This window comes from Homo sapiens, chromosome 17 (genome assembly GCF_000001405.40).
Source record: "Homo sapiens chromosome 17, GRCh38.p14 Primary Assembly".
Taxonomy (NCBI): domain Eukaryota; kingdom Metazoa; phylum Chordata; class Mammalia; order Primates; family Hominidae; genus Homo; species Homo sapiens.
The window spans coordinates 39,490,295-39,515,583 of record NC_000017.11 but is presented as its reverse complement, the minus strand read 5'-3'; the positions used below and the strand labels follow the sequence as shown (position 1 = coordinate 39,515,583).

At 42.7% G+C, this 25,289-nt stretch overlaps 1 protein-coding gene across 50 annotated transcripts in view; it reads right to left on the bottom strand.

The window, feature by feature from the left end:
* CDK12 (cyclin dependent kinase 12) overlaps positions 1-25,289 on the bottom strand; it is a 106,074-nt gene that overhangs the window by 51,976 nt on the left and 28,809 nt on the right. For all 50 annotated transcript variants that reach the window (XM_047436256.1, XM_047436261.1, XM_047436260.1 and 47 more), the window contains exons 3-8: positions 24,851-25,027; positions 22,694-22,833; positions 20,890-21,060; positions 14,145-14,334; positions 5,823-5,879; positions 3,954-4,055 (exon numbers count right to left, since the gene is read on the bottom strand). In XM_047436256.1, the coding sequence (XP_047292212.1) occupies positions 3,954-4,055; positions 5,823-5,879; positions 14,145-14,334; positions 20,890-21,060; positions 22,694-22,833; positions 24,851-25,027 (837 nt within the window). The remainder of the gene's footprint in view (positions 1-3,953; positions 4,056-5,822; positions 5,880-14,144; positions 14,335-20,889; positions 21,061-22,693; positions 22,834-24,850; positions 25,028-25,289) is intronic.

Sequence of the window (25,289 nt, the reverse complement as noted above, 5' to 3'; positions counted from 1 at the left end):
ATTTCTTGCAGTGAAACAGACAGTATAAAGAATTTAAATTTGCCAGCAGATCAAACTTTTGCCACCTATTAAGGACACTCTATGATCAGAGAAAGGGAGTCAAGAGTCTTTTTCTATCATGCCATTGTAATTAAGGAAATAACTAAAGACAATTTTACAAGGTTGCTCAAAATTAAAGAACAATACTAACAAAAAATAAATAAACAAGGATGCTCTCTGCAGTTAGTTTCTATAAAGTTTGAATTCATTTTTGTCATTAATCTGCTCTGTAGAAGATGCACTATACTATAGCCTTCTTGGCACTGTATTTCAAATAAAATAATTTACTGTCATCAGCTAGGATCAGTTGGACTTTTTTTATTTTTATTTTTTGAGATAGAGTCTCACTCTGTCACCCAGGCTGGAGTGCAGTGGTGCTATCTCCACTCACTGCAACCTTTGCCTCCCAGGTTCAAGTGATTCTCTGCCTCAGCCTTCCAAGTAGCTGGGACTACAGGCATGCACCACCACACCCGGCTAATTTTTTTGTATTTTTAATAGAATCTAGTGAATCTAACATGAATAAATCTCAAATCATTTATGCTGATTAAAAGAGTGGGGGGAGTATATACTATATAATTCCATTTGTGTAAAATTCTAGAAATAGAAATTATAGTGACAGAATGCAGAACAGTGGTTTGCCTGGGAATGGGAGGGTACGGGTAGAGGAAAGGGATTACAAAAGGGCACAAGGAAACTGTGGTGGGTGATCATTATCTTGGCTGTGTTGATGGTTTTACTGGTGGATATGTTATGTCAAAACATATCAAAATATATGCAGTTTATTTTATACTTCAATAAAATAGGTTTAAATATTGAATGAATTTGATAAGGCTATACTAAAGTTTTCTGTACTATTCCTGTAACTTTTCCATACATTGAAATTATTTCAAAATAAAATAAAGGCTGAGCATGGCAGCTCATGTCTGTGATCCCAGCACTTTGGGAGGCCTAGGCAGGAGGATCACTTGAAGCCAGGAGTTCAAGACCAGCCTGGCAACATAGGAAGACCACATCTCAAAGATTACATGAATATCCCATACTTTTTGTTACGTGCCTGAAATTTTTCATTTTTTTAAAGTGGGGAAAGAAAAAAAAAGGTCGATGAATCTGTCTGACCTATGCTTTGAAATGAGACAAATACAAAACCAAATTTATACTTTTATTTTAAAATTCTTTAGTTTGACTTAATTTGAGAAAGCAAAACGAACCTAGCTTTTTAAGTAGCACTTTTCTGTTAGAATTTGGACCTTTAAACGAATTATGTTAAAACAACTTCAAAGACAAATTCTTACTTCCTATATTCTCTCAAACCCTATTCAGAGATGGAAAAGTGAAAATAAAATTTAGGCCAGGCTCAGTGGCTGATGCCTGTAATCCTGGCACTTGGTGAGGCCGAGGTGGGAAGATTGCTTGAGCCCAGGAGTTTGAGACCAGGCTGGGCAACGTAGTGAGATCCCAACTCTATAAAAAGAAAAAAAAAGTAAAATTTAATTCTGTTTTCAACATTAACTGCCACATCAAGTTCTAAGTGCAATGTTGTCGTCACAGCGGGTAAAATCAGAGACATTTAAAAAAGAAAAGAAGAAAAAAAAACCACTAGGTTTTCAGACTCCTGACATAATTTGCTGTACTAGTCTTTCTAGTTTCTCCTCGATTCTAATTTGCACACTGAACTGTCATACCAATTCTCTATAAAAAATCCCATAAAAATATCTTCAGAGAGACTACCATGAATCACCAAAGTAGTAAGTTCACATCAAAACTCAAACAAAATCTTAATTCAATGAGCCACTGGGCTTTGAAGAATGTCTAACTTTATGTAGTTTTAATTTCCAATTGTGTTTTTCTGTTTTCTTTTCTTTTGGTTTCCAGTCCTTTGGTGGGAAGACATCTTCATTATGTAATCAACACTTTGCTACTGCTCTGAGGTGGCAGGCTGCACAGACTGAAATAATAGTACCGAACAGAGCTATGAACTTTCCTCGTGCATCTTAATGGGGCGTTAACTTTAGAGCCTAGTTGTGACAATTTAAATGCTAATACTGTTAAAGCAAATTGTCCAGAACAAAAACACACCCAGCTTGAGTCAGTAAAATTTAACTAAAGCTTTATTTTATTTGGGTAGGCTACCACAGAAATTATGCTCTTTCTCCATCATTCTGTTGAATTTTAAAATAAAACCCCTGTAGTGCTCCTCTTAAAGACTGACATTAATAGAGGAAGGAAAAGAATGGAAAGAAGTGATTTGCTCCACTGGGAAGTATATATGTCAGAATTGTAAAGTATAAAGGTCAAGGACAGTGTGTGACTGGGCATAAATCATACAACATAAGATACAATTAACAAACATGGCCAATTTAAAACATCCATGCCCCAACACACAAACTGTAGTTTCTAAATATCATTTTCCAGTAAAAGGAACTAAGACTCCTTAGAGAAATGGATGATTCCAGGTTTGGGGCAGGAAATGAACAGGACAAGCTTGGAACCAAAAACAAGATGTTTTCTACTGTAACACTACTATGGTGTGCCAAAAGGACTCAAAATATAACCTGAATAAGCTCCCACTGGCCAAAGACTGGACAGTTTGAACAAGAATAAGGATAATAACCACAATGGATTAAAATACATGAAATAAGTTTAAATCCAAGAATTCATAATAAAACCAAAAAACAAAAACATTTTTCATTGGTCATCTTTGAAGGATACTAGGAAACTACTTCATTATTTTGAAAACCGTTATATAAAATGAAAGAATTAACTTTTATCCTACCTTTTCTATATTATTTAGACCTGAGTTCAGCCAAACAGATGGGAGGATATCTTTATATAAGTATTCCAATAAGAAATGATATAATTAGAATGTGACCATCATAAAATAACCACAAATTAATTAACAGATGTGGGCAATGGCCAAGTAACTGTTAACATCCCAAAAAAAGACAATTACGTATTATGTAAAGTGGTATGTGTGTATAAATCTGCTCATTTAGAACTGCCCTAATAAGGCCATAATAAAAAGCTGACTAGTTTGTACTGGATTGTTTTGTTTTGTTGTTTCAAAATTCTCCACAGACAACATACTCATTTACTGCTTGTACTCTCTGGGCAGAGGCTCCCACTGCTCCCCACCTTCCAACTCTGATGTACCACTTATTATATAACTTTTGTTAGAAGTACTCAAAACAAACTGTAAAGTAGTTTCAGGGTCTACTACCCTGACCCTGGGTGGGTGGTTAGGAATCAACCTTTAATCCATTTACAATTTGCTAAAAGTAAAAAAGATAAGCTGGGTATGGCAACATACGCCTGTAGTCACAGCTATTCAGGAGGCTGAGGCAGGAGGATTGCTTGAGCCCAGGAGTTCAAGGATATAGCGTGCTATGATCATACTTATGAACAGCCACTGGACTCCAGAATGGGCAACATAGAAAGACTCCATCTCAAACAACAAAAAGATAAAAAATCATGCTAAAAAATACATATATATCATCACAAGGATACAATCTGCGAAATCCAGACTATAAAAGGCTGGATAGGACAAGTGAAATAGTTTCTTCTAATGAAATTATAAGGAAACAAAATAAATCAAAATTAGGTAACACAGAAGGGGAATGTAAAATTAAAAGATTTGATGTAATCAATTGCAAGCTATGAACCTTACTTGGGTATCTTATTTGGATCTCAATTCAAACAAAGTTTAAACAAAAAAAAAGAAGAAATCTGTTTTTTAAAAAAAGGGTCTCTGACATTAAGAAATATTCAACAGATTTCCCGGAAATCTGGCCAAAAGTTTATCGCCATCCTTCTGAACTTAAGAAGAGCTCTAAAAAGCCAGTGTACAGAGAAAACAAAGTACAAGTCAACAGTATGTAAGTTACAGACAAAAGAAAAAGTTAACAGAACCTTACCCACAGCTCCAAACATCTATGGCTGGTGTGTAACGTTCCTCTCCTAGCAGTAGTTCTGGAGGTCGGTACCACAAAGTAATGACTTTGTTTGTGTAAGGGCGACTGAAATATAAAAAACAACCATGACATAAACTTACAGTGGCTTCTGATGAAAAATATTCACATAACTAAATGCAAATAGAAATAGGTGCCAAATGAAGATGAGACTGAAAAACAAATCCAGAGCAACCTAACACTCCAAAAGCAAACTGTTCAGAAGTAGGAGATGAAGAAATAACTTCCATGCCTGGCGTGGTGGCTCATGCCTGTAATACCAGCACTTTGGGAGGCCTAAAGGGGAGAATCATTTGAGGCCAGTCCAAGACCAGCCTGGTCAACACAGCAAGATCTCATTTTTTTTTTTTTTTTTTTTTTTTGAGACGGTGTCTTGCTCTGTCCCTCAGGCTGGAGTGCAGTGGCGCCATCTTGGCTCATTGCAAGCTCCGCCTCCCAGGTTCACGCCATTCTCCTGCCTCAGCCTCCCAAGTAGCTGGGACTACAGGCGCCCGCCACCACACTCCACTAATTTTTTGTATTTTTAGTAGAGACAGAGTTTCACCGTGTTAGCCAGAATGGTCTTGATCTCCTGACCTCATGATCCACCCACCTCGGTCTCCCAAAGTGCTGGGATTACGGGCGTGAGCCACCACGCCTGGCCTATTAAAAAAAAAAGAAAAAAGGCCAGGCACGGTGGCTCACGCCCGTAATCCCAGCACTTTGGGAGGCCAAGCCAGGCAGATCACCTAAGGTCGGGAGTTCGAGACCAGCGTGACCAACATGGAGAAACCCCATCTCCACTAAAAATACAAAATTAGCCGGGCATGGCAGCACATGCCTGTAATCCCAGCTAGTCAGGAGGCTGAGGCAGGGGAATCGCTTGAACCCGGGAGGCAGAGGTTTCAGTGAGCCAAGATTGTGCCATTGCACTCCAGCCTGGGCAACAAGAGCAAATCTCCAGGAAAAAAAAAGAAAAAGGAGGAGAAGAGAAGAGAAGAGAGAAAAAAATAACTTCCATTCTAATTTATTTATTCCAGCCAAGGGACGATTCAAGAATTTAGATAAAATTTGCTGCCTAAAATGTAAGTGATAACGCTTTCAGATAATTAGGGAACTCTGACAGTTGTTGCAACTTGCAGAATACTAGAACATCTAGGAATAAAAAAGATTCTTGGCCGGACGCAGTGGTGGCTCACGCCTGTAATCCCAGCACTCTGAGAAGCTGAGGCAGATGAATCACGAGGTCAGGAGTTTGAGACCAGCCTGGCCAACATGGTGAAACCCCGCCTCTACTAAAAATACAAAAAATTAGCTGGGCGTAGTGGCGGGCACCTGTAATACCAGCTACTCGGGAGGCTGAGGCAGGAGAATTTCTTGAACCCAAGAGGCGGAGGTTGCAGTGAGCCGAGATCACGCCACTGCACTCCAGCCCAGGTGACAGATTGAGACTCCGTCTTCAAAAAAAAAAAAAAAAAAAAAAGAGAGAGATTGTTGCCCAGGTGCGGTGGCTCATGTCTGTAATCCCGGCACTTTGGGAGGCTGAGGCAGGTAGACAGCTTGAGCCCAGGAGTTCAAGACTAACCTAGGCAACATAGCAAAACCCCGTCTCTACTAAAAATACAAAAATTAGCCAGGTGTGATGGCACCCACCTGTGGTTCCAGCTACTTGTGAGACTAAGGTGGGAGAATCACCTGAGCCCACAGAGGTTGAGGCTGCAGCGAGCTGAGATCAAGCCACGCACTCCAGCCTGAGCAACAGAATAAGATCCTGCCTCAAAAAAACAAAACAAAACAAACCTTATTTCCCACATGTAATTTTAATTAATGCCTTACCTCTCTTCAGAGTTATAGAGCCGAGCAAGTCCAAAATCTGCTAGTTTGATTTGCCCACTGTAAAACAAAAAACAATTATTTTCATAAGCCATAGCAGTGGCCTCCAAAATACACCTGAAAAGTCATGCGCCAAGTTAGGGGTAAAGGAATTACAAAAATAAATTTTAACTTCTGCTCTCTTTGTTCTACTCTTTTCTCTTTCTTTTTAAAAAATTTTATACAATACCCAGTTCATGATTACTTCTACTCTTAACACTCAATCCCCCTAATTAAACCTTTTTTGACTACTTCAATTATAATGCCTTACACTTAAAAAACAAAAAAAAACTATTATTACATTTTCTGAATTTGACTCCTTAGCTAAATTTATTTCATGGTAAACAACAGTACCTAGAACGTGCTAGATTAAATACTTATTGTTGGGAAAAAAAAGAAATGATTTGCTCTAGATTGAGAAAGACTTAAGAGGGCCAACAGTCTGGGCATGGTGGCTCACACCTGTAGTCCCAGAATTTTGGGAGGCCACTGCACTCCAGCCTGGGCAATAGAGCAAGACCCTATCTCTGAAAAAACAAGCAAAGAAACCCAGTTTCCTGGGCCCCATTCTTAGAGATGCTGACTCAGTAGAACATGGCTCATGAATCTGCATTTCTAACAGGCCCATACGTGATGCCAATGCAGCTGGCCTGAGAATCAGGCTTTGAGAATCACTTCAAGGAGATCCCAACCATGTTTCACTCTGCTGATTTTTTTTTTTTTTTTTTGAGACAGAGTCTCACTCTATTACCTAGGCTGGAGTGCAATGGTGTAACCCTGGCTCACTGTAGCCTTGATGATCTCCCAGGTTCAAGTGATTCTCCAGCCTCAGCCTCCCAAGTAGCTGGGACTATAGGTGTGCACCAATATGTCCAGCTAATTATTTTATTTTTTGTAGAGACAGAGTTCCCCTATGTTGCCTAGGCTGGTCTTAAATTCCTGTGCTCAAGTGATCCTCCCTCCTCAGCCTCCCAAAGGGCTGGGAGTACAGGCATGGGCCACCATGACTGGCCTCTGCTCAGTATTCTATCCTTGACAGTGATATAAAGGAATTTTTTTTTTTAAGTTCCAGGGTACATGAGGTTTGTTACGTAGGTAAATGTGTGCCATGGTGGTTTGCTGCACCTATTGACCCATCGCCTAAGTATTAAGCCCAGCAAGCATTAGCTATTTTTCCTGATGCTCTCTCTCCTCCTGCATGAAGGAATATTTTTGAAAACTGCAAGACGAGATGTTGGGAATCTATTTTAAAACTATTTATTTATTGGAGGGGGTGGGCAATGCAAAACCCAACAACTACTTATTGACTACTTTGGATTAATGATATTTATCTAAATTCATGTAACCTGTTTAGTCATATTTACAGCCTTGCTACTTCTTGGGACATGAAAAGCCAGCTCACTGTCTTATAGGAAGCTGGTGTAGGTGTCTAATAGTTCAGATCAGGCAAAAAAGTGAGATATAGATTGTGCATCCAAATCCAAAAATGTGAAATCCAAAATTTTTCAGAACCTTCTCCCCCCGCCGTCTGAAGCAAAATCTGAAACTTTTTGAGTGCCAACATGACACTCAAAGGAAATGCTCAGTGGAACATTTCAGATTTTGGATGTTCAGAACCAGTAAGTATAATGTAAATATTCCAAAATCTAAAAAAAATCTGAAATCCAAAAGAATTCTCGTCTCAAGCACAGGGGATACTCAACATGTAGTACAGAAAAGAGGCCAAGAGGTGCTCCCCAAAATATGGACATGTGACAATATTAAAACAAGGTAACTACTAGCAACAAACTTCTACATTAAATCAATGCTTATTCCTAGTGAAGTTAAAGGTACCTTATCCACTTGCCCCAAACACCATTACATTAAGTTCAATTTATAAGCAAATTGTGAGAAAAGCAACAAGAAATAGTTAACTTATATTAAGACAAAGATGATTCCTCAAATTACTTGGCATCCTTACTCTGAAAGCCTGAAATTATGTAAGATTCAAGGCACATAGTAGGACTGAAAGTCAAAATGGAAATGGATATATAGTTACAGAAATCAGTGTAGACCTGAATATCACCAGCATCTAACATATTTCCTGCCTGGCTCATACTAGGTACTAAATAAATGTTTATTAAACGAATTTAGTCTGCTACAGAACCTGCTGATAGCACTTTTTTTTTTTTAAGACTGAGCTTCAATCTTGTTGCCAAGGCTGGAGTGCGATGGCGCTATCTCGGCTCACTACAACCTCTGCCTCCCGAGTAGCTGGGATTACAGGCATGTGCCACTACGCCCGGCTAATTTTGTATTTTTAGTAGAGATGGGGTTTCTCCATGTTGGTCAGGCTGGTCTTGAACTCCCTACCTCAGGTGATCCGCCTGCCTCGGCCTCCCAAAGTGCTGGGATTACAGGCATGAGCCACCGCGCCCGGCCGCTGATAGCACTTTTACTGACTCCCACTTTTCCTTCCAACTAAACCATTAAGGTGACTCAGTATGAAGTGTGGAAGTACTTGTAACTTTTTGCAATATAAAATAGAACAGGCCGGGCGCAGTGGCTCACGCCTGTAGTCCCAACACTTTGGGAGACCGAGGCAGGCGGACCACTTAAGTCAGGAGTTTGAGACCAGCCTGGCCAACATGGTAAAACCCTGTCTCTACTAAAAATACAAAAATTAGCTGGGCGTGGCGGCAGACACCTGTAGTCCTAGCCACTTGGGAGGCTGAGGTGGGAGAATCGCTTGAACCTGGGAGGCGGAGGTTGCAGTGAGCTGAGATTGTGCCACTGCACTCCAGCCTGGGTGACACAGTGAGACTCCATCTCAAAAAATAAAATATAAAATAAGTAAATAAACAAAATAAAATACAATACAAAAGAAGTGCCATCATATTGTTTATGTCCTGTCTCAAAGGAATAAGGTGAATATAGAAATATCTGGAGAATCCTTTCTGAGACCATGGTTTAACATTTTTGCCTTTTGAGAAGAACTTCAAGTACACAGTGCCTCCACTCACTCCCAGTTCAGCCCTCTTTCACGTAATACTTCCTTCCCTTGCCTACCTGGACCCCTTGGTTAATTAACCAAACTATTGTCTTCCTCGTTGCCTTAGCTTGTGATATAGCTAATCCCTAAGTCCCTAATTCTGGATCATTAGAAAATCTGTCTTTTCTGCTCTACCTAGAGAGCTGAACACAAGTGTAAAGAATAAAAATCATATAATTGGCCAGGCGTGGTGGCTCGCGTCTGTAATCCTAGCACTTTAGGAGGCTGAGGTGGGTGGATCACTTGAGGTCAGAGGTTTGAGACCCAGCCTGGCCAACATGGTGAAACCCCGTCTCTACTAAAAATACAAAAATTAGCCAGGCGTGGTGGCATGCGCCTGTATTCCCAACTACTCGGAAGGCTGAGGCAGGAGAAGGGCTTGAACCGGGAGGCAGAGGTTGCAGTGAGCCGAGATAGCGCCACTACATTCCAGCCTGGTGACAGAGTGAGACTCCATCTCAAAAAAAAAAAAAAAAAAAAAATCATATAATCATATTGTATGGTGTCACTGCAAAATGTGTGATTTCCTCTCTCTGTTAATTCCTGAATGCTGCTGGTTAGTCCTTTTACTTGTCTGTAATCAGCAACTTCCATTCAACATGGCTGTCATTACAGACCTCTGGCATTCTCCTTAATGCTCTAATCCATCCCCTACCCTCTTACACTTACTTAGTAAATGACCTTTTTCAGTGAAAAAATTAAAGTCATTAGGTGAGAGGTCCTTAACATCCTACCTTTTACCAGTAAACTTACTTCCATCTATAATTTTACTTTCCTCTTTCCTTTTAATTACAGTCATCCCTTAGTATATCTAGCAATTGGTTCCAAGACTCCCACATATACCAAAATTCAAGCAAACTCAAGTCCTGCAGTACGCTTTATAGAACCTGCATATATGAAACACTGGTACTCCATATAAACAGGTTGCATATACTGCAAACACTGTTTTTTATTTGTTTTTGGTTGGATAAAATCTGTGTATAAGTGGACATGCCACAGTTCAAACCTGCGTTGTTCAACGGTCAATGGTACATAAAAAGCATGTCAATCTCTTTTCTTGACCAAGGATAATCAATCCCTCCATCTGTGGCCTTGATCCCATCTATTCTAGAAATATGCTCCTTTAAATTATTTTGGTTCTTTCCCAAATCTTTTTTTTTTTTTTTTTTTTGAGACGGAGTCTCGCTCTGTCACCAGGCTGGAGTGCAGTGGTGCGATCTCAGCTCACTGCAACCTCCACCTCCCGGGTTCAAGTGATTCTCCTGCCTCAACCTCCTGAGTAGCTGGGACTACAGGCACGCACCTCCACACCCAGCTAATTTTTATATTTTTAGTAGAGACGGGGTTTCACCATGTTGGCCAGGATGGTCTCGATCTCTTGACCTCGTGATCTGCCCGCCTTGGCCTCCCAAAGTGCTGGGATTACAGGTGTGAGCCACCGCGCCTGGCCTTTTTTTTTTTTTTTTTGAAACGGAGTCTTGCTCTGTTGCCAGGCTGGAGTGCAGTGGCGCGATCTCAGCTCACTGCAACCTCTGTCTCCTGGGTTCAAGTGATTCCGCTGCCTCAGCCTCCCAAGTAGCTGGGATTACAGGCATGCGCCACCATGCCCAGCTAATTTTTTGTATTTTAGTAGAGACGGGGTTTTACCATGTTGGACAAGATGATCTTGAACGCCTGACCTCATGATCCGTCCGCCTCGGCCTCCCAAAGTGCTGGGATTACAGGTGTGAGCCACTGCGCCTGGCCCCCAAATCTTCAACTGCTCCCTTTTTATAGATTTTCTTTCTCCTTAGCGTTTTTTTTTTTTTTTTTTTTGAGACAGGGTCTTGTTCTGTCACCCAGGATGGAGTGCAGTGGTGGCAATCTCTGCTCACTGCAACCTCTGTGTCCCAGGTTCAAGCAGTTCTCATGCCTTGGCCTCCCACGTGGCTGGGATTAGATGCGTGCACCACCAAGCTCAGCTAATTTTTGTACTTTTAGTAGAGACAGAATTTTGCTATGTTGGCCAGGCTGGTCTCGAACTCCTAGCATCAAGTGACCTGCCCACTTCAGCCTCCCAAAGTGTTAGGATTACACATGTGAGCCACCACGTTGGCCTCCCCTTAGCATTTAAATATATTCAAATCTCTGCCATCCTTAAAATTAAAAATTAAAGACACCCCCTACCAGTACCTTCCCATTAACTGTGCTACTCAACCCCTTACTCCACACTAATTATCACTACTGACCTTTTAATTTTCAGATTCTCTTATAATTTGCCTGCATCATCTGACATCAATCACCACTCCCTTCTTAAACCTGCCTATCTTGCATTCATATTTTCCTTATTTTCTTCCTATCTCTCTGACCATCTCTCTTGGGTTACATTTCTGACATCTTTTCTATGTTCTGTAACTACCAACTCTGTATTGGTAGTTTGGAATTCCCAAATGACCATATGCTATTAAATATCACTACCCTGGATATATAAAAGACATATTCAAAAGAGATTTGCCTGTTACTCCATCCATCCTACTCTTCCATCTTCCTTGTATTGACTAGTAGTGCCACCCATCTAGCTAGTTTTTCAAGTCAGAAACCTGTGAGTTATCTTACTTTCTCTAATTCATTATCTACCATACACTCACTCAACCAAAGTCTACAGATCTACCGAGTCCATCCCTACTAGTGGTGTCTGGGTTATTTCCAGCACTGACCATTTATTACGAAGTTCTTAGAGGGTCTCTCTGCCTCCAGTTTATCGGCATAAACTGATAATTTGGTGACCTTTCCAAAACAGAAGATTGACTGTGTCTCTCTTCTATATAAAATGATTTGGTCTCATTTGGAATCCAACTCTGCTCTTCTCTCTCTCTTGCCACCTGTTCGCTCTCTTCCTTGCCCAGCTGACGACCCTTCACCATTTTCTCCAGGCCATCTCACCCACAGGTCTGAGTAGACAGAGCTAAATGGGTAAGGGAAGAGGCTGGATGGATCAGGCTAGACCACAGGATTCCTGTATCCTGCTTAGCAACCTGAGGAGGAAATTCAATTTAGTCTGGAACCTCATCAGCTTTCTGACTCTGGAAGGTCAGGAACCAAAAGAGGCCTTACCCACCAGAGAGGACACCAAACGGAGCTGCAATTATTCCCTGCTTTGAGACATCTCCTCATGGAGGAGTAAAGGGAACAGCAGAAAGTATATTATACTATAGGCCAGAAAGTTGCAAGCTAATAGCTATTAAGTTCTTAATGCATTATTTACTATAGATGTAGAGTCACCCACTTCCAACTTTACTGGGAATTATGAGTCAGAGAAAGCAACATAAAGAAATACTCTTTTGGCCGGGCGCAGTGGCTCACGCTTGTAATACCAGGACTTTGGGAGGCCAAGTGGGGCAGATCACTTGAGGTCAGGAGTTCGAGACCAGCCTGGTCAATATGGTGAAATCCCGTCTCTACTAAAAATAGAAAAATTAGCTGGGCGTGGTGGTGGGCACCTGTAATCCCAGCTACTTGGGAGGCTGAGGCAGGAGCATCGCTTGAACCCAGGAGTTGGAGGTTGCAGTGAAATCCTGCCATTGCACTCCAGCCTGGGCGACAGAGTGAGACTCAGTCTAAGATTATTTCTTTTTTTGAGATGGAGTCTTGCTCTGTCACCTGGACTGGAGTGTAGTGGATTGATCTCGGCTCACTGTAACCTCTACCTCCTGGGTTCAAGTGATGCTGATCCCTGTCAAATACAGATAAAGTTTAAGTTCCTCAGTGGGGCATGCAAGATCCATAAGTGGGCTCTATGTAACTATCCAGCTTCATCTCTTGGCCATTATGTGCTTCCCTCTTCTTGCTCTAGAAATACTGACCTGTTTACAGTTTTCCAGACATAACATGTTATTTTCATGTTTATGTACTTTTGTGCATGCAGCTGCTTCTGCCTAGAAATTTGATCACCCACCCACTGTCAGTTTTTCAGATAAATTCTTATTCATCCCTCAAGGTTACACCTTTCCAGATACTCTCAAATTCAAAGTGAAAAAAAATTGACCTTAATAAATGTTTACTGAATTGAGTAATTTATTTATTTCTCCTGCAAAAGTTTTGAGTTCCAGTGTTCAATCGTCGCATGTGAGCCTTTTACTGCTAAAACCAGGACAGTCCCAGGTAACCATGCAAGATTGGTTATTCTACACCATAAAGAGGGGAAATGTGTCATAATCTTTCCATGTTCCTATATAGATAATGTCTGTTAGATAAAACTGAACCGGCCAGGCGTGGTGGCTCACGCCTGTAATCCCAGCACTTTGGGAGGCCGAGGTGGGCGGATCACGAGGTCAGGAGATAGAGACCATCCTGGCTAACATGGTGAAACCACGTCTCTACTAAAAATACAAAAAAATTAGCTGGGCGTGGTGGCGGGCGCCTGTAGTCCCAGCTATTCGGGAAGCTGAGGCAGGAGAATGGCACGAACCTGGGAGGCAGAGCTTGCAGTAAGGTGAGATCGCGCCACTGCACTCCAGCCTGGGCGACAGAGCAAGACTCCGTTTCAAAAAACAAACAAACAAACAAACTAGTATGCCAGGTGCGGTGGCTCATGCCTGTAATCCCAGCAGTTTGGGAGGCTGAGGTGGGTGGATCACGAGGTCAGGAGTTCAAGATCAGCCTGGCCAATATAGTGAAACCCCATCTCTACTGAAAATACAAAAATTAGCAGAGCATGGTGCCGGGCGCCTATAATCCCAGCTACTTGGGACACTGAGGCAGGAGAATCGCTTGAACCTGGGAGGTGGAGGTTGCAGTGAGACGAGATCACGCCACTGCACTCCAGCCTGGGCAAGAAGAGCGAAATTCCATCTTCAAAAAAAAAAAACAAAACAAAAAACCTAGTGTGCATAATACATCTGATATTACCAATGCAGTATAGGCAAATAAACAGAAAAGAAGAAAGCAAATGATAAAAACTTCTGATGAATTAACACCTGTTCATAACCAGATTCCTGTTTGTTTACGCTATTAAAACCTAGGAGTAAGTACTAGGCAGAAAAGGCCAATCACCAACTGCACATCAATGTTTACTCAGAAAGCTGGTAACTGAGAAAAGGCTCAAGAACAGCTAAAGGAGCAGGTATGTTTCTCCCACACTGAACGTAGGAAATATCACTAAATAGTGTGTGAATACTGCACTATTAGGTCTAATTATAATACCAATTAACCATTTGAAACTAAAAAGGTCAGAGGAGAAGAGGAAAGTGCTTAATCTTATTTGGTTACTATGTTACCTGTTATTCAGCAAAATGTTAGAACACTTAATATCCCGATGCAGGAAATTCTTTTTGTGACAGTATTCCAATCCTTCCATTAGCTGTTTCATGAACGACTTGATATGGTCCTCAGAAAAGTGCACCAAACCAGATTCTAGCAGTCCCATTAAGTCATGGTCCATATACTCAAATACAAGGTAAAAGGCACCTACATAAAGACGAAAAAAAATTAAAAGCAAGAAAAAAAAAAGAATGCTGAAATAACAATGCCTCAAGTCCTAATATAATTTTGGAGTTGACCACAGGTTCTCTAGAAAAAACCCTTGAATTTTACAGATGAAGAAACTGAAACGAAGAGTAGTTGAATAATTAGTCCTTCCTAATAATAAACAACGGAGCTAATATTTGAATTAATCTTCTGTGGCTGGGCGCAGTGGCTGATGCCTGTAACCCCAGCACTTTGGGAGGCCGAGGAGGGCGGGTCACTTGAGGTCAGGAGTTCGAGACCAACCTGTCCAACATGGTGAATGAAACCTCATCTTGACTAAAAAAAAAATACAAAAATTAGCTGGGCATGGTGGCACGTGCCTGTAATCCCAGCTACTTGGGAGGCCGAGGTGGGAGAATCACTTGAACCCAGGAGCTGGAGGCTGCAGTGAGCTGAGATGGTGCCACTGCATTCCAGCCTGGGCAACAAAGCAAGACTCCTTCTCAAAAAAAAAAAAGGAATTAATCTTTCAATTCCTAGTCTAGTACTATATGGACTACTCACCTCTTCATGGGGGCAGGTGCCCTGACCAGGTTGCATTACTAGGCTTTTTTTTAAAGACAGACTCTCACTCTGCCACCCAGACTGGAGTGCAGTGGCACTATCTTGGCTCACTGCAACCTCCGCCTCCTGGGTTCAAGCCATTCTCCTGCCTCAGCTTCCCAAGTAGCTGGGATTACAGGCATGTGCCACCACACCCGGCTAATTTTTGTATTTTGAGTAGAGACGAGATTTCACCATGTTGGTCAGGCTGGTCTCAAACTCCTGACCTCAGGTGATCCGCCTGCCTTAGCTTCCCAAAGTGTTGGGATTACAGGCGTCAGCCACCGCGCCCAGCCTTTTTCTTCTTTTTTTTTTTGAGACAGCGTCTCATTCTGTTGCCCAGGATGGAGTGCAGTGGCATGATCATGGCTCACTACAGCCTCAAACTCCTGGGCTCAAGCGAATCTTCCGCCTCAGCCTCTCATGTAGCTGGGAATACAGGCACAGGCCACCACACCCAGTTAATGTTTTTCATTTTTTGTAGAGACAGGGTCTTGCTATGGTACCCAGGCTGGTCTCTTAACTCTTTGGCTCAGGCAATCCTTCCACCCCAACATCCCAAAATGCTGAGGTCAGAGGCATAAGCCACTGTGCTCAGCCTGTCTTACTAGACTTTAATGACCTAAGTCAGTTAGCAAATTACAGAGCTTAGACCAGATCCAGCCTGCTGCTTGTTGCTGTAAATGAAGTTGTATTTGTAACACAACCATGCCCATTTGTTACATAAAATTGACGACTATTTTGTAAAGGTTTTTATACAAGTTAATGGGACTCAATACGCCAGGGACATCATAATAAATGTGTTATAAATTATTAGTGAAATTCATAGTACTGGTCAGGCATGGTGGCTCATGCCTGTAATTCCAGCACTTTGGGAGGCCAAGGCAGAAGGATTGCCTGAGGTCAGGAGTTCGAGACCAACCTGGCCAACATGGTGAAACCCCATCTCTACTAAAAAAAAATACAAAAATTAGCCAGGCATGATAGCAGGCGCCTATAATTCCAGCTACACGGGAGGCTGAGGCAGGAGAATCGCTTGAACCCAGCAGGCAGAGGTCGCAGTGAGCTGAGACTGCACCATCGCACTTCAGCCTGGGCAACAAGAGCAAAACCCCATCTTGAGAAAAAAAAAAAAAGAGGCTGGGCGCGGTAGTTCATGCCTGTAATCCCAGCACTTTGGGAGGCCAAGGCGGGCAGATCACTTGAGGTCAGGAGTTCGAGACAAGCCTGCCCAACATGGTGAAACCCTAACTCTGCTAAAAATACAAAAATTACCTGGACGTGGTGGCGTGCACCTGTAATTCCAGCTACTCAGGGAGGCTGAGGCATGACAATCGCTTGAACCCAGGAGGCGGAGGTTGCAGTGAGCCAAGACAGCGGCACTGCACTCCAGCCTGGGCAAAAAGAGCAAGACTCTGTCTCAAAAAAAAAAAAAAAAGGAAAGAAAGAAAGAAAGAAAGAAAGAAAGAAAGAAAGAAAGAAAGAAAGAAAGAAAGAAAGAAAGAAAGAAAGAAAGAAAGAAAGAAAGAAAGAAAGAAAGAAAGAAAGAAAGAAAGAAAGAAAGAAAGAAAGAAAGAAAGAAAGAAAGAAAGAAAGAAAGAAAGAAAGAAAGAAAGAAAGAAAGAAAGAAAGAAAGAAAGAAAGAAAGAAAGAAAGAAAGAAAGAAAGAAAGAAAGAAAGAAAGAAAGAAAGAAAGAAAGAAAGAAAGAAAGAAAGAAAGAAAGAAAGAAAGAAAGAAAGAAAGAAAGAAAGAAAGAAAGAAAGAAAGAAAGAGAAAATCATAGTATTAAAAATTGAGAGAAAAATGAATCAACAAATTTAGGGCTGTGTTCAGTGGCTCATGCCTGTAATCCCCACATTGTGAGGGGCTGAGGTGAGAGGATTGCCTGAGCTTTGGAAACCAGACTGGGCAAAATAGTGAGACACCATCTCCACAAAAAAATTTATAAATTAGCTAGGCATGATGGTGCTTGCCTGTATTCCTGGCTACTTGGGAGGCTGAGGCAAGAGAATCATTTGAGCCCAGGAGTTTGAGGCTACAATAAGCTGTGATTGCACCAATGTACTCTAGCCTGGGTGAGAAAGCAAGATTCTGTCTACAAAAAATTTCAAAAAGAGAAGGATGGCCGGGCGCGGCGGCTCACGCCTGTAATCCCAGCACTTTGGGAGGCCGAGGCGGGTGGATCACTTGAGGTCAGGAGTTTGAAACCAGCCTGGCCCACATGGTGAAACCCCATCTCTACTAAAAACACAAAACAGCTGGGCATTGTGGCACACACTTGTAATCCCAGCTACTTGGGAGGTTGAGGCAGGAGAACTGCTTGAACCCAGGAGGTGGAAGCTGCAGTGAGTCGAGATCACACCACTGCACTCCAGCCTGGGCAACTGAGTGAGACGCCGTCTCAAAAAAAAAACAAAATAAAACAAAACAAAAAGACCAGGCTGGGCAACATAGCAAAATCCTGTTTCTACCAAAATTTTTAAAAACCAGCCAGGAGTGGTGTCTAGTCCTAGCTACTTGGGAGGCTGAGTCAGGGGGATCCCTTGAACCCAGGAGTTCAGTTACAGTGAGCTGTGATCATGTCACTGCACTCCAGCCTCGGTGAGAGAGCAAGACTCTGTCCCAAAAAAAAAAGAAAGAAAGAGAGAAAGAGAGAGAGAAAGAGAGAGGGAGAGAAAGTAAATAAAACTGGTAACATAGAGAAGACCCAAAATATAAGGAATATAATCCAAAATGACATTCGCTGGGTGCGGTGGCCCAAGTTCGTAATCCCAGCACTTTAGGAGGCCAAGGCAAGAGGACTGCTTGAGCCCAGGAGTTAGAGACCAGCCTGTGCAACATAGAGAGATCCTGTTTCTACTAAAAATTTAAAAAATCAGCTGGATGTGGTGGTGCATGCCTGTTGCCCCAGCTAATCAGGAGGATGAGGCATGGAGGATTGCTTGAGCCTGGAGGTTGAGGATGTAATGAGCTATGACCACCGTTGTACTCCAGCCTGGGCAACACACTGAGACTGTCTCAAAAAATAAAAATTAAATTAAAATAATATATAAAATAATAATATCATACTTAACCTATCCAGATGACAATTTTTTTTTTTTTTGAGACAGAGTCTTGCTCTGTTGCCCAGGCTAAAGTGCAGTAACTCAATCTCGGCTCACTGCAATCTCTACCTCCCGGGTTCAAACAATTCTCCTGCCTCAGCCTTCCCAGTAGCCAGGATTAAAAGTGCCCAGCACCATGCCCAGCGAATTTTCGCATTTTTAGTAGAGAGGGGTTTCACCATGTTGGCCAGGCTTGGCTCAAACTCCTGACTTCAAGTGATCTGCCTGCCTTGGCCTCCCAAAATGCTGGGATTATAGGCATAAGCAACCACACCTAGCCCAGATGACAATTTTTTAAAAAGATATACTTGGCCGGGTACAGTGGCTCACACTTGTAATTCCAGCACTTTGGGAGGCCGAGGTGGGCGGATCAGCTGGGGACAGAAGTTTGAGACCAGCCCGGCCAAATGGCGAAACCCTGTCTCTGATAAAGATACAAAAATTAGCCGGCCGTGGTGGCGTGCGCCTGTTTAAGCCCAGCTACTCCAAAGGCTGAGGCAGGAGAATCACTTGAACCCAGGAGGCGGAGGTTGCAGTGAGCCAAGATTGCATCACTGCACTCGAGCCTGGGCGACAGAGTGAGACTCCTTCTCAAAATTAAAAAAAAAAAAAAAAAAAAAAAAAAAAAAGATATACTGAATGTTGGGGAGGATACACTGAGATGGACACCCACTGGACATACTAATTTTCTTAAAAGGAATCTGACATTAAATATGAAAATCCATTTGACCAAATAACTCTGTATCAAAAATGCTATACAATGAAAATAAATCATAATGCAAAGATTTATGCAGAAAGATACTCAAGGCATTGTTATTATGTTTTTTGGGATTTTTTTTTGAGACAGAGTTTTGCTCTTGTCACCCAGGCTGGAGTGCAATGGCGTGATCTCAACTCACTGCAACCTCTGCCTACCAGGTTCAAGTCATTCTCCTGCCTCAGCCTCCCAAGTAGCTGAAGATTACAGGCGCTAGCCACCATGCCCAGCTAATTATTGTATTTTTAGTAGAGATAGGGTTTCACCATCTTGGCCAGGCTGATCTCAAACTCCCGACCTCAGGTGATCAACCTGACTCGGCCTCCCAAAGTGCTGAGATTACAGGGGTGAGCCACTGCACCTGGCCTATTATTTTTTTTTTAAACTGAAAATTGGCAACTAATTGCTCAACAGGGACTGGTAAATTTGGATTCACCTATGTTTACGCATAAACATTAAAATTTGTTAATGATATGAGAAATTGCTTATGACAAGTTATACAACACGAAATAACCTTTAATCTCAGCTTTGTTAAAATAAATACAGTAGATATGGCATAAAGTACTAAAAGCAGGGCTGAGTGTGGTGGCTCACCCTTGTCATCCCTGCTCTTTGGCAGGCTGAGGTGGATGACTGCCTGAGGTCAGGAGTTCGAAACCAGCCTGGCCAACATGGTGAAACCCGGTCTCTATTAAAATTATAAAAATTAGCCGGGAGTGGTGGCACATGCCTGTAATCCCAGCTACCCGGGAGGCTGAGGCAGGAGAATTGCTTGAACCTGGGAGGTGGAGGTTGCAGTAAGCCAAGATCGAGCCAATGCACTCCAGCCTGGGTGAGAGAGTAAGACTCTGTCTCAAAAAAAAAACAAAAACAAAAAGAACTAAAAGCAAATATACCGAAATGTATTAATACTTCAGTGGTTTTCCATGGATGGTAGTATATTGGGAGGAAGTGGGAGATAAATTACTACCATCTTTTTTTTTTTTTTTTGAGGCGGAGTCTCGCTCTATTGCCCAGGCTGGAGTGCAGTGGCACGATCTTGGCTCACCGCAAGCTCCGCCTCCCAGGTTCACACCATTCTCCTGCCTCAGCCTCCTGAGTAGCTGGGACTACAGGCGCCTGCCACCATGTCCGGCTAATTTTTTTTGTATTTTTTTAGTAGAGTCAGGGTTTTGCCGTGTTAGCCAGGATGGTCTTGATCTCCTGACCTTGTGATCTGCCCACCTCGGCCTCCCAAAGTGCCAGGATTACAGGCGTGAGCCACTGCGCCTGGCCACTACCATCTTCTTTTTCTTCTTCTTCTATATTTTCAGTTTTTCCACCAAAGGCATACATGCATCATATCCATTCATTCACTTATTATTTTATAAAAAAAAAAAAAAAAAAAAAAAAAAAAAAAACACATGAGGCCAGTCATGGTAGCTCACTCCTATAATCCCAGCACTTCGAGGGGCCGAGGCGGGCGGATGACTTGAGGTCAGGAGTGTGAGACCAGCTCGACGAACATAGCGAAACCTCCTCTCCACTAAATATACAAAAATAAGCCCGGAATGATGGCGCATGCCTGAAATCCCAGCTACTTGGGGGCTGAGGCACGAGAATCACTTAAACCCGAGAGGCAGAGGCTGCAGTGAGCCGACATCACAGGACTGCAATCCAGCCTGGGCGACAGTGCGAGACTGTCTCAAAATAAATAGATAAATAAGAAAGAAAGGGCCAGGCGCGGTGGCTCATGCCTGTAATCCCAGAACTTTGGGAGGCCCAGGCGGGCGGATCACGAGGTCAGGAGATCGAGACCATCCTGGCTAACACGGTGAAACCCCGCCTCTACTAAAAAAATACAAAAAATTAGCTGGGTGTGGTGGCGGGCGCCTGTAGTCCCAGCTGCTCAGGACACTGAGGCAGGAGAATGGCGTGAACCCAGGAGGTGGAGCTTGCAGTGACCTGAAATCGCACCACTGCAGTTCAGCCTGGGCAACAGAGCAAGACTCCGTCTCAAAAAAAAAAAAAAGAAAGAAAGAAAGAAAAAAAAAAAGAAAGGCAAAGATTGGACCAGTCTACCCTGTAAAAATGTGATTCTTTGCTAGTACCTTTGTCCTTCTTGAAATCCAGTGCATCTTGTTTATCTGTGACAATTTCCTTCATGTTAACAACACTTCGGTGGATTAACTGACGAAGGATTTTGATTTCACGAATGGCTGTGATTGGGAAGCCCTCTTTCTCATTGTCTAGTCTCACCTTCTTCAGAGCCACTAGTTCTCCTGCCAAAACAAATGTAAACTGTTATTATCAATGAGCATTTTTGGCCACTATTGTGAACCAGCAATATATGCCCTTGCTCTGGAAGACAAACTTAGTGCTTACTTTAATGCTTACACGAGATACTTATACACCTTTAAAAAGTAAACTCTAGGCCAGGCGCACTGGCTCACACCTGTAATCCCAACACTTTGGGAGGCCAAGGCCTGCGGATCACCTGAGGTTAGGAATTCGAGACCAGCCTAGCCAACGTGGTGAAACCCCGTCTCTATTAAAATACAAAAATTAGCTGGGCGTGGTGGTGGATGCCTGTAATCCCAGCTACTCAGGAGGCTGAGACAGGAGAATTGCTTGAACCCGGGAGGCAGAGGTTGCGGTGAGCAGAGGTTGCAGTGAGCTGAGATCGCATCATTGCACTCCACCCTGGGTGACAGAGTGAGACTCCTTCTCAATAAAAAAACAAAAAAGGAAATTTTATATTCCCTTTCCTGGCTTTAATTTTTTTCTTAAGACTTGAATTTTTTGTTTTTGAGATGGAGTCTTGCTCTGTCACCCAGGCTGCAGGGCACTGGCGCGATCTCCGCTCATTGCAACCTCCGCCTACTAGGTTCAAGTGATTCTCCTGCCTCCGCCTCCTGAGTAGCTGGGACTACAGGCGTGTGGCACCACGCCTGGCTAATTTTTTCTATTTTTAGTAGAAACGGGGTTTCACCATGTTAGCCAGGATGGTCTCAATCTCCTGACCTCGTGATCTGCCCACCTGGCCTCCCAAAGTGCTGAAATTACAGGCATGACTCACCACACCCAGCTGGAGAGTTTTAAAAGTTATAATTATAGTATTCTTTTGGAAACCTTTGATCTACTCAATAACTTTTGGAGACAAAACTAGAACTAAAAATTTGGCCAGGCGTGGTGGCTCATGCCTGTAATCCCAGCACTTTGGGAGGCTGAGGTGGGTGGCTATTTCAGGTTAGGAGTTCAAGACCAGCCTGGAATTCAAGACTGCCTGGCCAACATGGTAAAACCCCATCTCTACTAAAAATACAGAAATTAGCTGGGTGTGGTGGTGCATGCCTGTAACCCCAGCTACTCGGGAGGCTGATGCAGAGGCATCGCTTGAACCCAGGAGGCAGAGCCTGCAGTGAGCAGAGATTGATCCACTCACTGCACTCCAGACTGGATGACAGCGCAAGACCCCGTCTCAAAAAATAAAAATAAAAAAAGGCCTGGCGCCGTGGCTCACATCTATAATCCCAGCACTTTGGGAGGCCGAGGTGGGCAGATTGCTTGAGGTCAGGAGTTCAAGACCAGCCTGGACGACATAGTGGAACCCTGTTTCTACTAAAAAAAAAAAAAAAACAAAAATTAGTCGAGTGTGGTTGCGCACGGTCTGTAATCCCAGTTACTCGGGAGGCTGAGGCAGGAGAATGGTGTGAACCCAGGAGGCGGAGCTTGCAGTGAGTTGAGACTGCACCACTGCACTCCAGCCTGGGGAGCAAGACTCCATCTCAAAAAACAAACAAACAAACAAACAAACAAAACACCTCAGAATTTACTTTTGCTAAATCCACTTAAGATATTAGTATTGCTAAATTGTTAACATTCTGACATCTAAAATTTTGTGGCAATATTTACCTGTGTCTTTGTCCTTGGCTTTATATACTTGGCCATAGGTTCCTTCTCCAATAATCCCAATAATGTCAAACTTGTCCACACAGCGTTTCCCCCAGTCGCTTTCTGTTTGTCTTCTTTCTCCATAACGAGGACAACAAATTCTAAAAAGTAAAAACAACAAAATAGTTATTTAAGAAAATGAAGGCCGGGCGCGGTGGCTCATGCCTGTAATCCCAGCACTTTGGGAGGCCGAGGCTGGCAGATCACGAGGTCAGGAGATCGAGACTATCCTGGCTAACATGGTGAAACCCCGTCTTTACTAAAAAAAATACAAAAATTAGCCAGGCGTGGTAGCGGGCGCCTGTAGTCCCAGCTACTCGGGAGGCTGAGGCAGGAGAATGGCGTGAACCTGGGAGGCAGAACTTGCAGTGAGCCAAGAATGCGCCACTGCACTCCAGCCTGGGCGACAGAGCAAGACACCCTCTCAAAAAGAAAAAAAAAAAAGAAAATGAAATTGGCCGGGCTCGGTGGCTCATGCCTGTAATCCCAGCACTTTGGGAGGCCGAGGCAGGTGGATCACGAGGTCAGGAGATAGAGACCATCCTGGCTAACACGGTGAAACCCCGTCTCTACTAAATATACAAAAAATTAGCCGGGCGTGGTGGCAGGCGCCTGTAGTCCCAGCTACTCAGGAGGCTGAGGCAGGAGAATCACTTGAACCCAGGAGGCAGAGGTGGCAGTGAGCCAAGGTCACGCCATTGCACTCCAGCCTGGGCAGCAGAGCGAGACTCCGACTCAAAAAAAAAAAAAAAGAAAAGAAAATGAAATCGAGTCAAAGAAAAAAGGATTCTTTTATGATGATTTCACTAACTCCTGTATCTTTTTTTTTTTTTTTTTTAGTACTCTACAGGCAGGCGCCACCCCGCCCAGCTAATTTTTGTATTTTCAGTAGAGATGTGGTTTCACCATGTTGGTCAAGATGGTCTCGATCTCTTGACCTCATGATCCACCCGCCTTGGCCTCCCAAAGTGCTGGGATTACAAGCGTGAGCCACCGCGCCCAGCCACTCCTGTATCTTTTATACATTTTTTACTAAAAAGTCAGAAATGAAATGATATGAAATATATAAACACACAGCCAGGCATGGTGGCAGGTGCCTCCAGCCTGGGTGACAGAGGGAGACTCTGTCTCAAAAAAAAAAAAAAAAAAATACATAAACAGTCTCTCACAGTGGCTAAGACATAGGGCTACAGCTTTAGGAAGACATACACTGAAATAATAGATTAGTTGCTTGCTTTCTGAACTCTCTCAGGTATGGCTTTAACTATAAAATGGGAAATTAATCGCTACATGCTAAGGCTGCTATGAAAATATAAGGCCGGACGCGGTGGCTCACGCCTGTAATCCCAGCACTTTGGGAGGCCAAGGCGGTGGATTACCTGAGGTCAAGAGTTCGAGACCAGCCTGGCCAACATGGTGAAACCCCATCTCTACTAAAAATACAAAAATTAGCCTGGCGTGGTGGCACGTGCCTGTAATCCCAGCTACTCGGGAGGCTGAGGCAGGAGAGTTGCTTGAACCAGGAAGCCGAGGTTGCGGTAAGCAGAGATAGCATCACTGCACCCCAGCCTGGGCAACAAAGAACGCAACTCTGTCTCAAAAATGTGTATATATAAAACTACGACAATAATACGTGCTCAATAAATGATACCTATTTTTATTATTAAGAGAGAAATGCTAACAATCAGAAGATTAGACCCATATTTATACTCAATTTATGGCATGACAATTTATATGCTTTCAGGAAGAAAAATCCCATATCTATTAATTTTTGGTTAATGTGTACACGATTGACACATCCTGAATTTAAAAAGCTTTTATTCTTCCTTAGTACTCTAAATATTATGAATAAAAAAGACATAATGAGATAAACATTCATAGTATATCTGGATTTGGGAATTTTCTGTTGTTCTAAAAACATAGCTGGGTATCTGAGGGCATAGATGAATGACCTGAGTCTCCAAGAAAGGCTTTTGTCCATTAAAATAAAATTAAAAAATACTTTGGGACCAAACTTCTACGATCTTACTGGTGTGGGTTATAGAAGAAACATGAGAGATTTAGTTCAAAAGGAAGGGAGAAAACTATCATGAAAGACAGATTCCTCCAAAAACTCACTTTGGTCTCTTTTTATATGGTTGCTGAGGTGGTGTGATTGCCTTTGGTTCTGGAGAGTCTGGGGGAGACAGATCTCCACCAGGGAGCTCTGGAGGGAGAGGAAGGTCTGTGAGTAAGTGACGTGTCCTCTGTTCCTTCTCTTTCTTCACAGGTTTTGAAGGAAGAGTTTCTTTTGGACTAAACAATAAATGAGAAGAGATGACAAAATTACAATTAAAGATACGCAAATAAAAATTTTCAAAGATCATAATGCCTGGTTACGAAAAGGTTAGAAAGATCTAATTTTTAAGGAAAAAAACCTGTACTATAACATAAAAAAAAATAATTAATCACAACTAAAGATACTTAATTTTTTTCTTTTTTTTTTGAGACAGAGTATCACTCTGTCGCCCAGGCTAGAATGCAGTGGCGTGATCTTGGCTCACTACAACCTCTGCCT